Source organism: Homo sapiens, chromosome 17, assembly GCF_000001405.40.
Source record: "Homo sapiens chromosome 17, GRCh38.p14 Primary Assembly".
Lineage (NCBI taxonomy): Eukaryota > Metazoa > Chordata > Mammalia > Primates > Hominidae > Homo > Homo sapiens.
The window spans coordinates 47,593,245-47,609,981 of record NC_000017.11 but is presented as its reverse complement, the minus strand read 5'-3'; the positions used below and the strand labels follow the sequence as shown (position 1 = coordinate 47,609,981).

At 40.7% G+C, this 16,737-nt stretch overlaps 1 protein-coding gene across 6 annotated transcripts in view; it reads right to left on the bottom strand.

Annotated features, from left to right (window-relative positions):
- Positions 1–16,737, bottom strand: part of NPEPPS (aminopeptidase puromycin sensitive) — a 100,344-nt gene that overhangs the window by 13,295 nt on the left and 70,312 nt on the right. For all 6 annotated transcript variants that reach the window (NM_001330257.2, XM_017025373.1, NM_001411130.1 and 3 more), the window contains 5 exons: positions 13,520–13,629; positions 10,243–10,306; positions 8,235–8,374; positions 5,933–6,067; positions 4,430–4,649 (listed from right to left, as the gene is read on the bottom strand). In NM_001330257.2, the coding sequence (NP_001317186.1) occupies positions 4,430–4,649; positions 5,933–6,067; positions 8,235–8,374; positions 10,243–10,306; positions 13,520–13,629 (669 nt within the window). The remainder of the gene's footprint in view (positions 1–4,429; positions 4,650–5,932; positions 6,068–8,234; positions 8,375–10,242; positions 10,307–13,519; positions 13,630–16,737) is intronic.

The window sequence follows — 16,737 nt, the reverse complement described above, 5'->3', positions numbered from 1 at the left end:
ATGGCACACAAATCTGATGAATTGCAGCAGTACAATGGACAAATAAAATGTAGTATATTCATATGATGAAATACTACTCAGCAATAAAAAGCAATGAACAACCCAGATTATCTCAGAAACACTACGCTGAGTGAGAGAGGCCAGGTATAAGAACAGAACACACATTGTATGATTCTATGTATATAAAATAGAAGAGATAAATATTAATCTAGGTGAAAGAAATCAGAATGGCATGTGCCTGTGTGGGGTAGGCACGGGAGGCTCAAGTAGCAGGGACCAATTAGGAAGGAGCCCAAGCAGCTTTCTGGGTGATGGAAATGTGGTATGTGTTTGCCGAAAGTCATGGAACTGTAACATTTAGATTATTCATTTTGCTACACTTAAATCATAATTTAACCAAAAATAATTTTAAGAAAACCATCAGAGATCAATAGATAACTACACATTGTTGTGATGATTCTTACAAGAAGTAATTTATAATTCTGGCTCTGGTACTAACACGCTGTGTGATGCAAGGTAACATTTTATTATTTTGCCGTGTTTCATTCTCCCATCTGTATAGCTAGGAAATTGAAGGCATTCTCCCTATATTGTAAAGATAGTTTTGAAGTCAAAAAGTGTCACGTTATCATCATGAAAGAAAAGTGCAACATCCATTAATTTACCTGCATCTGTGTCCATGTACTCCTATCCTGTCACTATTCATCTGTGCTCCTATCTAAAACCAACTCCTTAACTTCTGCACTGGACCTCAACTCCTCTTGATTATTCAGCTGTCACTATAGCAATAAGCCCTCTCTCTCACAAAACATGAATTTTCTCCTGTCTCAGCCTCCTGAGCATATTACTACCGCATATGTTCAAATAGTTGCAGAAAATGTAATATAAAATCTCCCAACTTAAAAAATTCCTTCCTTTACCCCACGTCTCTCTCATCTACCCCTTTTCTCTGATCTTCTCAGCAAAACTCCTTTAAAAAGTTGTCTAAGTGTGTTGTCTCCATTTCCTCTCCTCCTATTCTAAAGAACCTGCTCCAAAAGTGGAGAATTCATTATTGTTCCCCACTACTCCACAAAACTTGTTAAATGTAATATTGAATTAGCCTTCATCATTCTGTTTGACTTAGTGTAGTAGCATCTGACACAGCTGATCACATTCCCTCTGCCTTCATCTACTGTTTCTTTTCATCTACTATTTATTTAAATTCTGGGATACCCCCCCTCTCTCCTGGCTCTCCTTCTACCTCACTGGCCAGTCCATCTCTTTTGCTGTTTCTTCCTTTTCCACACAATCTCTAAATCCTGAACTCAGACCACTTTCTTCTACTTACACTCAGTCACTGGTTGATCTCATCCAGTTTTGTTTTGTTTTTTAAAGACATGAGTCTCACTATGTTGCCCATGCTGGGCTTGAACTCCAGGACTCAACCAACTCTCCTGTCTCAGCCTCCTGAGTAGCTGGATTACAGGTGTGAGCCACATGCGTGATATGATTCCCACCCCCTCACTTTTTTTTTTTTTTTTTTTTTGAGACGGAGTCCCGCTCTGTTGCCCAGGCTGGAGCGCAATGGCGCAATCTCGGCTCACTGCAACCTCTGCCTCCCAGTTCAAGTGAGTTTCCTGCCTCAGCCTCCTGAGTAGCTGGGACTACAGGCGTGTGCCACCATGCCCAGCTAATTTTGTATTTTTAGTAGAGATGGGGTTTCACCATGTTGGCCAGGCTTGTCTCAAAACTCCTGACCTCAGATGTTCCACCCCCCTCAGCCTTCCAAAGTGCTGGGATTACGGGTGTGAGCTACCACGCCTGGCCTGATTCCCTTTTACACCCAAATATGCTTCTATGCCAGGCACAGTGGCTCATGGCTGCAATCCCAGCACTTTGGGATGCTGAGGGAGGAGAATTTCTGGAGTCCAGGAGTTCAAGACCAGCCTAGGCAACACAGTGAAGTCTCATCTTTTCCAAAAAAAAAAAACATAGCTGGGTATGGTGCATGCCTGTAGTCCCAAATACTCAGGAGGCTGAGGTGGGAGGATAGCTTGAATCCAGGAATTCGAGGCTGCAGTGAGCTATGACTGCATCACTGCACTCCAGCCTCGGCAACAGAGCGAGACTCTGTATCTTTAAAAGAAAAAAATGTTTCTACAGCAGTCTTCCCTATCCCTGTACATGGCAACTTCATTCTTCCAGTTCTGCAGGCCAAAATTTGATGACACTTCTCTTTCTTTCCACCACACAGTCCATCCTTCACCAAATAGTTTCAGTTGCACCTTCAAAATATACACAGACTTTACCACCTGTAAGTTCTAGTTGCAACCAGCATCTCAACTGGATTGCTAAAATAGCCTTCTGAATGGTCTCCCTGCCTCCTCTCGTCTTCTCTTAGTCTGTTCTTCAGAAAGCCGAGTAAATCAAATCAAGTTCCCCTGCCCAAAACTCTCTAATTAGCATGTCATATCACTAAATGTGAAAGTCAAAAAACTTCTCACTGTAGCAAACAGGTTCTACAGGATCAGAAAGGTCTCCCATTGCCCTCTCCCACTCATTCTTGTCCTGAACTCAGCAGCTTTCTTGTTATTCCTCGAATACCCTAAGCATGCTCCCATCTCAGGTCTTTTGTACTTGCTGTTTCCTCTGTCTCAACCACTTTTCTTCTAGGTAGCCTCAAAACTCTCTCCATGTCTCAGTTTATGCTCAATATCACCTTATTAGAGACAGTTTCCCCAAACACTCTCTATAAAATAGTGGCCCAGCACTCCTTATTATCTGACGACTTTCTTTTTCTTTTTTTTTGAGATGGAGTCTCGCCCTGTCACCCAGGCTGGAGTGCAGTGGCCTGATCTCAGCTCACTGCAGCCTCTGCCCCCTGGGTTCAAGCAATTCTCTGCCTCAGCCTCCCGAGTAGCTAAGATGAGAGGCACCCGCCACCACACCTGGCTAATTTTTGTATTTTTAGTAGAGACGGGGTTTCACCATCTTGGCCAGGCTGGTCTTGAACTCTTGACCTTGTGATCCACCCGCCTCAGCCTCCCAAAGTGCTGGGATTACAGGCGTGAGCCACCACCCCTGGCAACTTTATTTTTCTTAATGATACTTCCTGCCACCTAGACCATTATACATTTAATTATTTGCTATGTCTCCCATTAGAATGTAAGCCATATAAGGCAATATTTGGGTTGCTGCTGTTTCACCAGCTCTTAGAATAGTATATGGCATTTACTAGCTACATAAATATTTGTTTGGGACCAGCTGTAGTGGCTCATGCCTGTAATACAGCACTTTGGGCGGCCGAGACGGGCAGATCACTTGAGGCCCAGAGTTCAAGACCAGCCTGGCCAACATGGCGAAACCTCGTCTCTACTAAAAATACAAAAATTAGGCAGGCGTGGTGGTATGCTACTCGGGAGGCTGAGGCAGGAGAATCGCTTGAACCCAGGAGGCAGAGGTTGCAGTGAACCGAGATGGCGCCACTGCGTTCCAGCCTGGGTGACAAGAGTGAAACTCCATCTCAAAAAAAAAAAAAGAAGACAAGACATAGAGCTCTAGGTATTGCTACTATTTTTATTACAAAAGACTTCTGGGTCAAGACTGGTCAGGAGGAAACACCACCTTTAGTTATTAGCAGATGATAAAAAATAATGATATGTAAAACCTTTAAATAATCATCCCCAATATTTAAATGAGAGCAAAAAGAGTAAATATATGCTTATAGAAATAATCAGAGCAGAGAACACATGTAGAAAGCAAATAATTTCCTTAATTAAAAAAGCTGACCCCTGTGTCTCTCAGCACCTTTACAAGTTATACATAAAGGTGCCTGGTATTTATGGTAATAATAAATAAAACTTGGGAGGCCGAGGCAGGCGGATCACCTGAGATCAGGGGTTCGAGACCAGCCTGACCAACGTGGTGAAACCCCATCTCTATTATAAATATAAAAGTAACCAGGCGTGGTGGCACATGCCTGTAATCCCAGCTACTCGGGAGGCTAAGGCAGGAGAATCACTTGAACCTGGGAAGCGGAGGTTGCGGTGAGCCGAGATCGCGCCATTGCACTCCAGCCTAGGCAACAAGAATGAAACTCCGTCTCAAAAAAATAAAATAAATAAATAAATAAATAAAACAAAACAACCTAAAATTCCCTTTAGCTTTTCTTGACTAAAAATAGGCCTTTGGAATTCTGCAAAAGACTTTTATTTCCACCATGTGCACAAATTATATTTAGCATCGAACACACATAACCACTACTGTTTCTATGTTGTTGACCCATGTAACTTCACCAGCAGACTTAAAAGACTCACGTCTTAATTTCTGGCTTGCTGAATATATAGTAACATCCAGTAGATACAAAGATGATATTAATTATATTGTTAACCACATAAAAAAGTACCAACTTCTGCGTAATTCTTTCTCCATTTAGTATATCCATTACCTTCTCCAGGTTTGGGGTCCCAGCCCAGTCTCTCCCCTATAGGTGAAAAGACATCTTTCACAAACTCCTGGATTTCCTCATAGAAGTCTGTGTGGGACAAGAGAGTTGAGAGAATCCCCAGGTTACAGCTCAGGTCGCTCCATACAGTATAATTGGGCTCATTCACAAAAGCCTCCATGACTTTTAGAACCTCTACAGTGCTAATGATTCCAGCTCGAGCCTGGGATAGGAAAAAACATAAATTAACCTAGTCTTCAAACAAAACCAAAAAACATAAGCATGCATTTTTGGCATTATCTACTGCTAGCAATTTCTTTGGTTTAAGGAAATGGGACTGTATAAGCTCAGAACACTGTTAGCATAAAAATCCTATTCAGACAACATTCCTTCTTTAATCCTTTGTTATTTTTTTCTTTTTCTTTTTACAGAAAAATTAGAATGAATCATTTGCTATTTATACAAGAACTACTTTTAAAAATTACACTAAGAGTCCCAACAATTTGAGAACAACAACAAACCACTTAACTTCTATTTCTACTCAGTTTCTGGGGACTTGGCTTTGTTACTGTTTTGAAATTTTTCATACTTTCAGAAAAACTGCAAAAATAGTTTGAGCTTTGGTTTTTGACAAACATTCTTTCAAAGCCGGACCTGCAAACTGTGTCAACTTAAGCCTCTCCTTTACTCATTTCTAAAAGAACATAAACTAGAAGGCACTACAAATTCAAAGTCCTTTCAGAACTAACAGAGTTAGGAAAAAGAACTTCTGTTACAGCAGCCAGCTGCACAAACAGCTCACTCTCCTGGGACAGGTCTCTCTCAGCAATTAGATCAGCAGATGTGAGGTTTTGTGCATCAATGCTAATCTGTGTTTATACAAAGGCAGAATCCAAAACCAATGACTGCAGAGGGGAGGGAAAATTTCCAGTCCAATTTAAAGAAATACTAGGAGGAATATGACAATTTTATCATAAAGACATCTGGAAATTACCTAACCTACGCTGAAGTCATAAAGAAAATAATACTAATTGCTGCTTTAAATCCTTTCTGGAAGAAAGCCAAATATAAATATAATTCTAAAGCTAATGGGATATAATTTGAAATAAGAACACAATGTTTAAAAATTATGGCTTTCCCAGCAAAGTACAACCACTATTTAGAAAAACATAAAATCACTCTGACTTAATTATTTTAAAAACCTATCAGTAGGGTCATTTCTTCAAGGCTTATATTTATTTCTACTGAAAAGAAAGGAATTTTTTGCCTTACAAAGGATAGTTTAATTAAGAGTTTCAGAAAGCTGGCTTAGGAGTAGTGAAATGGGATTTAAATTATATAGCCTCAATCTTGTCATATTAAAAACAGTGATTTGCTCTAGTCCCAAAGGTGTTTTTAACCATCATGAAGACCCATATTCTTCTAATTATGTTTCAGACACTCCAGGAAAAACAGAATCTTTTAATCAGCAAAATCCATCATATTACTTAAGTCACAGATGCTCACCAAGGAGAAGAGGTCATTCTGTAATCCAAGTCGATCCACAGGGGGCAGAGAAAGGTCACGAATGCCTGGTAATAAACTTTCCAGCATGGCAGAGCTGTACTGGGTCCGATAAAACCCAACTGTTCCTAAGTTTAACTGCAAAGATATCCAGTAAGTACTATTAAACAGCTCCATTAATTTTTTAAATCAACCTTTTGTATGTTTAAAAGGAGTTCTGGTTTTAGATATATCTGGATGAAAAACAATTAAGACCATCTATGCCAACTAATGGATTAAAACAAGACAACACATCAAGACAGAATGAATGCACAGACAAAAGAAAAGGGAAACTTGAAATTGTGAGGGCCAAAGTGAGGGACAGTAGAAAGAACAAGGAAGGGACAAAATAATGTGGGTTTCTATTTCTAACCTCAATTTTAGGTTTACAGAAAATACTTAATATATATGAAAACACCTGGACAGTGGAATCTCTAAGAAAGCTTAGGCCTTTACAAACATTGATCTTATAAGCACAGAGACTGAACGGAATAACAATTTTCAGATTCCAATTTTAAAGAAGTACATGGACCTAAAAGGCAATTTCATAAGATTTTTGGCGTGAGGTAATTACTGACTGCATTATTCTTTTTTTTCTTTTTGAGATGGAGTCTTGCTCTGTCACCCAGGCTGGAGGGGAGTGGCATGATCTCAGCTCACTGCAACTTTCACCTCCCAGGTTCAAGTGATTCTCGTGCCTCACCCTCCCAAGCAGCTGGGATTACAGGCACCCGCCACCACACCCAGCTAATTTTGTAATTTTTAGGAGAGACAGGGTTTCACCGTGTTGGCCAGGCTGGTCTCGAACTCCTGACCTCAGGTGATCCGCCGCGCCTCAGCCTCCCTGGGATTACAGGCATGAGCCACTACACCTGGCAACTGCATTATTCTCTATAGGCTATTTACCAATAGCCAAAAAATAGTTTTGAGAACATTTATATTCAAAATAGTTAAATGGTAAAACAGTAAGATACAAATATTTTACTATTTATATGTAAATATTTTTAAAACCACCCCTACAATTTTAACGCAACTATCACTTTATTGATTCCCTTTATTTAACCTAATCAAAATTGTAGTGTACATAACTTTTTTCTCATTTATAAGAAATTTTTCATATTGCTACAACATAATCTTCCAGATTATAATTTCAAATGGTAATATTCCAGTGAGTATATTTTAAATATATATTTAAAAAAGTAAAACAATGCCAGGCATGGTGGCTCATGACTATAATCCTAGCTACTCCGGAGCCTGAGGTGGGAGGATCACATGAGCCTAGGAGTTTGAATCCAGCCTAAGCAACATAGTGAGACCAACTCAAAAAAAAAAGAAGTTGATAAACAGAAAAAATGGCTTTTTTTTTTTTTTTTTTTGAGATGGCGTCTCACCCTGTCACCCAGGCTGGAGTGCAATGGCACGATCTCGGCTCACTGCAACCTCCGCCTCCTGGGTTCAAGCGATTCTCCTGCCTCAGCCTACTGAGTAGCTGGGATTACAGGTGCACACCATCACGACTAGCTAATTTTTTTTTCGTATCTTTAGTAGAGACAGGGTTTCACCATGTTGGTCAGGCTGTTCTTGAACTCCTGACCTTGTGATCTGCCTGCCTCGGCCTCCGAAAGTGATCTACCTGCCTCGGCCTCCCAAAGTGCTACCACAGCGTTCGGCGGGCTTTTTTTTAAAAAAAAGCACAAATGTCTGATACAATGTATAATTCCTATTAGGAACATACAATTAAGAGTCTGTAGTAAATACTTTCATTATGAAAGGTACAGAGTACAGAATAATGAAAAATAATTCTTACCTATTGGTATTTTTGTGAAATGGTTTTGAAATACCAACTAAGGAATTTTACATTTCAGTGACACGAACCGATTATTATGTATGTCTGCTCTCATTAGATTACAGTAGTACACATATGGTGACAACACATCATTGAAGTTAACCTTTCATTACAATGACAGGGGAGTTTGAAGGTGTGAGACTACACATATTTTGGTTCATATATGCTTACACTCAGTCTACTTTTTTTTTTTTCTTCTCCTCCTTAGTCCTATGCCTTTGGATCTGCTTCTCTACCACTACCTTCCCTAACATAAGGACAAATGTCTGGACAATACTATATGAAAATTCGTCCTAAGTTTCACAAAGAAAAGTTTAGGTTTTTTTTTTTCTTTGAAACTACTAAACTGAAGCAGAATTTAAAACCGGCCATAAAATGTATAAGTGAGAGAAATCTGTTTAGGTAAGATTCTGAACTCACCTTCACCCATTGGTCTGGTTTGACATTTTTCAAAACCACATTCATCTCTGGCTTGTCCATTAGAATTTTTAGTTTGGCCTGGTTGGGGTCTTCACTAGTAGAGATTGTGATAGGGACCATCCACTGGGGACAATCTTCACCTAAGCCAGAGAAGAACAAACAAATTTTGCACTGGGACAAACAGAAGGTAAGGTGGAGAGAGGAGTGGTGGTGTTCTAACCAGGAGCCTAAGCCAAACTGTTAAGTCAATAGTTCATTCTTAGTGGTACATGAACTCTTCCAGATAACCTGAATAGTATCAGTGCAAAGGAAGGGATCATTTACTAACAAAATCACAACATGTTGTCTAAAAAAAGAAAACAGTTAACTCACTTGTAGAATCACAAATGCAATGACTTAAACTTAATTATCATTTTCCCCCTAGAGAGCAAAGACAGCAATTTTACTGTTAAAGTAAAAAAACAACAACAACAACAAAAAATATATATATATATGTATGTATATTTTTTTTTGGAGACAGAGTTTTGCTCTGTCGCCCAGGCTGGAGTGCGGTGGCGTGATCTCAGCTCACTGCAACTTCCACCTCCCGGGTTCAAGAAGTTCTTGTGCCTCAGCTTCCTGAGTAGCTGGGACTACAGGTGTGTGCCACCATGCCCAAAAATATACAATATTTTTTTGTACTTTATTAGTAGAGATGGGGTTTTGCCATATTGGCCAGGCTGGTCTCAAACTCCTGGCCTCAAGGGATCCACACGCCTCAGCCTCCCAAAGTGCTGGGATTACAGGTATAAGCCACTGCGCCCAGCCTTCATATATCATTTAAAAACAAATTCTAAGGTGCAGTCCTTAACAGGTATACACACTGCTGAAATATCGAAGGGTTAATTTTTATTGTTGTGATAGACAGGATACAACCTGGAAGCTGTTATGTTCCGTCACAGAGGAGTCATATCTACAAGCCAAAGCTTTTGTAAGGCAGAAACACTGTCTTACATATCAGACAGCAAAACAGACTTGGCATTAAGATGCCAAACAAAAAAAGAGTCCTTGCCCAGTACATTCATGGAAATGGAGCTACTTTAATAAATTACATAGCTTTATGCTATCAGGTTAAACCACAAAGTAAAATTTCTCCAATATTGGGATACTGCAAGTTTTAATGTTACCTCTACTGGTCACAGAGTATTAGAAAAACCTGTCAGTACTACAATGTGGATTATAGGTAAGAGGCAGAAAACGGCAACTGTGACACGTACAGATTTATTTGGATAATAAAACTGTCATCTGATTTGTTAGATATTTTTTCTCCCCCCAGACAGGGTCTCGCCGTGTCACCCAGGCTAGAATGCAATGGCACAATCACGGCTCACTGCAGCCTCGATCTCATGGGCTCAAGCAATTCTCCAACTCAGGCTCCCAAGTAGCAGGGACTGCAGATGCATGCCACCATGCCAAGCTAATTTTATTTATTTATTTTTTTGAGATGAGGTTTTGCCATGTTGCCCAGGCTGGTCTCGAACCCCTGGGCTCAAGCAATCTGACCACCTTGGCCTCCCAATGTACTGAGACTACAGGCGTGAACCACTGTGCCCAGCTTTGTTAGATATATTCATTAAAAGAGTAATTCTATGGCTGGGCACAGTGACTCACACCTGTAATACCAACACTTTGGGAGGCTGAGGCAGGCGGATCTCGAGGTCAGGAGTTCAAGACCAGTCTGGCCAACATGGTGAAACCCTGTCTCTACTAAAGATACAAAAAATTAGCCGAGCATGGTGGCATGTTCCTGTTAATCCCAGCTACTTGGGAGGCTGAGGCAGGAGAATTGCTTGAACCCAGGAGGTGGAGGTTGCAGTGAGCCAAGATCACGCTATGGCACTCGAGCCTGGGCGACAGAGTGAGACTCCTCAAAAAAAAAAAAGAAAAATTTCCTATTAGTTGGAATACTACTGGTATTAGTTAATATCCAAATTCATCAATCATATCTCACTTACAGCCATTTACTTACCAACATATGACCCACCAGCACAGAACTTCTTTTGGGACAACCTCAATAATCTGTCATCTTCTACCTAAAGAAGCAAAACAAAGGCTATAATAGTACTGACACCATCTGGGGTTTTGGTTTTTGTTTTTGAAGAGGAGGGAGACAACATTTCTGTGACAAATGCTGGAACGAGCACAACCAAATGTCTCATGAGTATACAAAATGCAATTGTGATGAAGACGGTAATACTAAAGAGAAAAGTCCAAATAACTAAAAAGCCAGAGGCAACAATGGTAAGTACATGTGTTTACAAAATACTTCAACAATATGCAGTCATTTGTGTCATTTATTAGTTACCACATCCTGGATTTCAAATAACACAGACTTAAGATCACCTAAATCAAATGTAAAATTGGGCTAATGAGTTTCATGGATAAACTTACTGCAAGAAATAGAATTGAAAAACTAAGAAAAAATTTAAGTGAGAAAGCAATGGCCACTTTGATGCCACAGGGAAACTATTAATGAACGTTAACACTAGATACTAATTATATATATAATCAGTTATATATCACACAGATTTCCCTGAGAAAGTTGAAACCTTTTACATTGATTCAGAATTAGAGCAAAAATATTTAAATTTGGGGAATGTAAAGTGAGAAACAGATCATAATCAAGATATGTTACACAGCTCTCCTATTCTTAAAAGAATTAAGAGCAACAGACAGGCCTTTAATTTCATTAATATATTTTTAATTTATTTTTAGTTTTTTTAGAGACAGGGTCTCACTATAATATTGCCCAGGATGATCTCAAACTCCTAGGTTCAAGCAATCCTCCTGCCTTAGCCTCCTAAAGTGCTAGGATTATAAGTTTGAGCCACTGCACCAGGCCATTGGCCTTTTATGACAATGCAAAATGGAGGATGAGTTTGGCCGTGCCTGTAGACAAAAAAGAAAACAAAGAAAGCAAGACCTTGAAAGCCCCTGGATGGAAACAGTTTCAGTAACACTGAGAAGTGTGGCATTACTGTTCTCTGTTCTAACTGATAAACTATTATTTCTTAAAAGTGTGTTCTGCTTTAAGAAAAAATTACGGCTTAATAATCTGTTTTATGTGTAATCATTAACATTTCAATAGTTTTGGGTTTGTTTTTTTGTTTTGGTAGAGGCAGCATCTTGCCGTGTTACCCAGGCTGGTCTCAAACTCCAGAACACAAGTGATCCTCCCAAAGTGCTGGGATTACAAATGTGAGCCACTGCGCCTGGCCAATTGTTTGTTTTTTAATACATGGTCTTGCTCTGTTGCCCAGGATGGACTGCAGTGCTGCCATCACAGCTCACTGCAGCCTTCACACCTCCTGTGCTCAAGCGATCCTTCCAACTAAGCCTCCCAAGTAGCTGGGACTATAGGCACGTGCCACCATGCCCAGCTAGTTTTTTTTACTTTTAGTAGAGACGAGGTCTCACTATGTTGCCCAGGCTTGTCTTGAACTCCTGAGCTCAAGCAATCCTCCCACCTTGGCCTCCCAGTATTCTAAGTACAGGCGTGAGCCACTGTGCCTGGCCCAGCCAATAGTTCAGTAGTTTTGAGGGAACGAAATGCTCAGATGAGAAGTAACAATAATTTTTGTATGTTAATATTCTTAAAAGAGTCAGTCTATATGCAGTGTCAACATCAAATTCAATTAGTCATCTCCTATAACAAGACTAGTCCCAAGTGCAGAAAAAAGACTGCAAAGAAATAGAACTGGTCACAGTGGCAGGTCACTAAACTTACAGGTATTCTTTCCCACCAAACATGATCAATTGCATTCCCTAAATTGCCTTTCCAAGTTATTGCAGCCAATCTAACTGAGAGGTCCTCCAGTGTGCACACTTTAGTGTAAAATCCAATCATGTTTAAAGTTAAGATTTGGCTCTGAAAGGGTAATCTGCAAGCTTACACGTGAAAATGTTCCATGTAAATTTGGGAGCATTTTGAGAGTGCAAGAATTGGTTTAAATGTCACCTAGAATACAAATGTGCAGAAAAGCAAATTTATAACTTAGATTGCCACATTGAGAAATTATTTGTAAAACATACTTGGCTTTGGCTGGGTGTGCAGTGGCTCATACCTGTAATCCCAGCACTTTTGGGAGGCAGGGGTGGAAGGATCACTTGAGCCCAGGGGTTCCAGACCAGGCTGGGCAATACAGTGAGACCTCATCCCAATTTTTTAAAATATAAAAGTAATAATAAAAAAATACTTAGCTTTGTGGACAATGTAGGACCACAAGAAAAAACACATACTAAAAAAGAACTATGAATCCACTTCCCTAAAAATGAACAGGAATTAATTCCCCATGCAGCTCACAAAACCATGGCAAATAAACTGAAGAGAACAATTTCATTTAATGAAACCGAGTTAAGATCACTTTTTGGTAGGCATTAAAGGATGTTGTGTAATTCTCAGTCCTTTTGAAGTATAACTCATACCAAAGTACTCCTCTCTGAATTCAGGTAACAGTTCAATTAATGAATTGCAATCCTAATTAAAATCACACTGCCATCCAACCAACATTAAAAACCTACTTTACACAATTGATATTATAAGTGGGTATGAAATTTTACCAAATGTTTTTTCTACATCTAGTCAGTGATTATGTGCTATTTGCATTTGATTCTGTTTATGTAGTGATTATAAATCAATACATTGATTTTTTTTTTTTTTTGAGACGAAGTCTCGCTCTGTTGCCCAAGCTGGAGTGCAGTGGCACAATCTCGGCTCGCTGCAACTTCCACCTCTCGAGTTCAAGCAATTCTCCTGCCTAAGTCTCCAGAGTAGCTGGGATTACAGGTGTGTGCCACCATGCTCAGCTAATTTCTGTATTTTTAGTAGAGACAGGGTTTTACTACATTGGCCGGGCTGGCCTCAAACTCCCGACCTCAAGTGATCCACCCGCCACGGCCTCCCAGAGTGTTGGGATTACAGGCGTGAGCCACCACGCCCGGCCTAATTTTTTAAAAAATGTTAAACCAACCTTGCATTTGTAGAATAAACCATATTTGGTGGTTTTAGAATTATATCAAATTTTACAGTATTTTCCCTGGAGACTAGACAAGCAAGTAACATTTTGTTTTCTCTCTTAAGCATGTATAATTTTAATGATGCAAGCTGTAAAATTACTGATAAAAGAGTAACAGGGCTGGTTTAAATGTCACTAGAAAACTTAAAGTACAGAAAAGCAAACTTGATACACTGTACTGAACTTCATTTAATACAATATCAGACAAATGGAAAGACTTTATATGTTTACCTGTTCAGCTTCCACATAAATGAGGGGAAATCCCATTTGTTTGGTCCAGGTATTCATCACAGCTGCTATAGGTTTACCACTAGCATTTTCTAAACTTTCCCAGAGATCCTCTAGAAGATAAACAATGATAATCTAAAATGTTTATATTTTTATTTTCCTAAACAAAAAAGAAATTTTATTTAACTTTTGACACTACACTGCTAATTCTTTGGTTCTTTCAGGTTCAGGAAACAGTGAGCCAAATTAACATTCCCCTTGCCACCCCTCTTCTGCAACTAAGTAAATTCTATCATAAAAACTGGTATTTTTTGAGATACGGTCTTACTTCATCACCCAGGCTAGAGTGCAGTGGCATAATCACAGCTCACTGCAGCCTCGACCTCCCAGACTCAGGTGATCTTCCCTCCTCAGCCTCCTGAGTAGCTGGGACTACAGGTGCACACCACAACACCTGGCTTTTTTTTTTTTTTTTTTTTTTTTTGAGATGGAGTCTTGCTCTGTTGCCCAGGCTGGAGTGCAGTGCCATGATCTAAGATCACTGCAACTTCTGCCTCCCAGGTTCAAGCAATTCTCCTGCTTCAGGTGCCTGAGTAGCTGGGATTACAGGCATGTGCCACCACACCCAGCTAATTTTTGTATTTTTAGTAGAGATGGAGTTTCGCCATGTTGACCAGGTTGGTCTTGAACTCCTGACCTCAGGTGATCCACTGCCTCGGCCTCCCAAAGTGCTGGGATTACAGGCATGAGCCACCGCACCTGGCCCATAATTTCTTGCAATTTTTTGTAGAGATGGGATTTCACCATGTTGCCCAGGCTGGTCTCAAAATCCCGGGCTCAAGCAATCCACCTGCCTCAGCCTCCCAAGGTGCTGGAATTACAGGTGTGAGTCATAACACCTGGCCAAAACTGGTCTTTTATTCTGAGATATACTTAATCATTCTAATTTATAAGAAAAATTACAAATTATAATAAAAGATAAACAGATGAGTTAAGGAGAAACAAAGAAATTGAAATGTGTTCAAGATCACTACTAAACAATCACTGACAAACTTAAGACCGTTATACCCATTCAATTAACCTCACTTTAAAAATATCCAGGCTGGACGCAGTGGTTCATGCCTATAATCCCAGCACTTTGGGAGGCCAAAGCGGGCGGATCACCTGAGGTCTGGAGTTCAAGACCAGTCTGACCAACATGGAGACACCCCATCTCTACTAAAAATACAAAATTAGGCTGGGTGCAGTGGCTCACACCTGCAATCCCAGCACTTTGGGAGGCCGAGGTGGGCACGTCACCTGAGGTCAGGAGTTCGAAACCAGCCTGGCCAACATGGTGAAACCCTGTCTCTACTAAAAATACAAAAATTAGCTGGGCATGGTGGCACACACCTGTAATCCCAGCTACTTGGGAGGCTGAGACAGGAGAATCACTTGAACCCAGGAGGCGGAGGTTGCAACGAAGCCAAGACTGCACCACTGCACTCCAGCCTGGGCGACAGAGCAAGACCCTGTCTTTAAAAAAAATAAAATAGGCCAGGCGCGGTGGCTCACGCCTGTAATCCCAGCACTTTGGGAGGCAGAGGCGGGCGGATCATGAGGTCAGGAGATCGAGACCATCCTGGCTAACACAGTGAAACCCTGTCTCTACTAAAAATACAAAAAATTAGCCGGGCGTGGTGGCGGGCGCCTGTAGTCCCAGCTACTCGGGAGGCTGAGGCAGGAGAATGGCCTGAACCCGGGAGGTGGAGCTTGCAGTGAGCCGAGATCGCGCCACTGCACTCCAGCCTGGGCGACAGAGCGAGACTCCGTCTCAAAAAATAACATAACATAACATAACATAACATAACATAACATAACATAACATAACATAAAATAAAATACAAAATTAGCCGGCCGTGGTGGCACATGCCTGTAATCCCAGCTACTCAGGAGGCTGAGGCAGGAGAATCACTTGAACCCGGGAGGCGGAGGTTGTGGTGAGCCAAGACTGCACCATTGCACTCCAGCCTGGGCAACAAGAGCGAAACTCTGTCTCAAAAAAAAAAAAAAAGAATTGAAAAGAATCAAAAAGTTAAAAAAATTAAAAAGTAAATTTAAAATGTTACAGTAAGCTAAGGTTAATTTATTATTCAAGAAAGAAAAATTATTTTTATAAATTCAGTGTAGCCTAAGTGTAAAGTATTTATAATATCTATAGTAGTGTATAGTAATGTCTTAGGCCTTCATATTCACTCACCACTCACTCAACTAGAACAACCTCTATAAGTTGTCCTATAAGCTGCATTCAGGTGTAGCACCTTATTTTCTTTTGAGACCGCGTTTCGCTGTTGCCCAGGCTGGAGTGCAGTGGCCCAATCACAGCTCACTGCAGCTTTGACCTCCCAGGCTCAAGTGATCCTCCTACCTCAGCCTCCCAAGTAGCTGGGACTACAGGCACATGCCACCACACCCAGCTAATTTTTGTACTTTTTATAGAAGCGAGGTTTTGGCATGGTGCCCAGGCTGGTCTCAAACTCCTGGACTCAAGCAGTCCACCTGCCCCAGCCTCCCAAAGTGCTGGGATTATAGGCATATCAGCCAGCTGGTGGAGCATCTTTAATATCATATTTTTACTGTACCTTTTCTATATTTAGAAATGTTCAGGTATACAAATACCATTGTGTTATAATTGCCTATGGTATTCAGTACAGTAACATGCTGTACAGGTATTTTGTAGCCTAGCAGCAACAGGGTATATACCATGTAGGCTAGGTGTACATAGCCTAGGACATACTGTGTAGGTTTCTGTAAGTACATTCTATGATGTTCACATATTGATGAAATTGCCTGACAACATATTTCTCAGAACATATCCCTGTTGTTAAGCAACACATGACTGTATTCCCTTTATTTTTTATTTTTTTCAGACAGGATCTTGTTCTGTTGCCCAGGCTGGAGTGCAGTGGTGCCATGATTGCTCACTGTAACCTCAAACTCCTGGGCTCAAGTGACCCTTCCCACTTCAGCCTCCTGAGTAGCTGGGACTACAGGCACATACCACCACACCCGGCTAATATTTTTGTATTTTTTGTAGAGGTGGGGTCTCGCTATGTTGCAAGCTGGTCTTGAACTGGGCTCAATCAGTCCGCACATCCTGGCCTCCCAAAGTGCTAGGATTACAGGCGTGAGCCACCACACCCGGCCCAGACTCTTTAAGTTGGCAAAATACTCAGTTATGG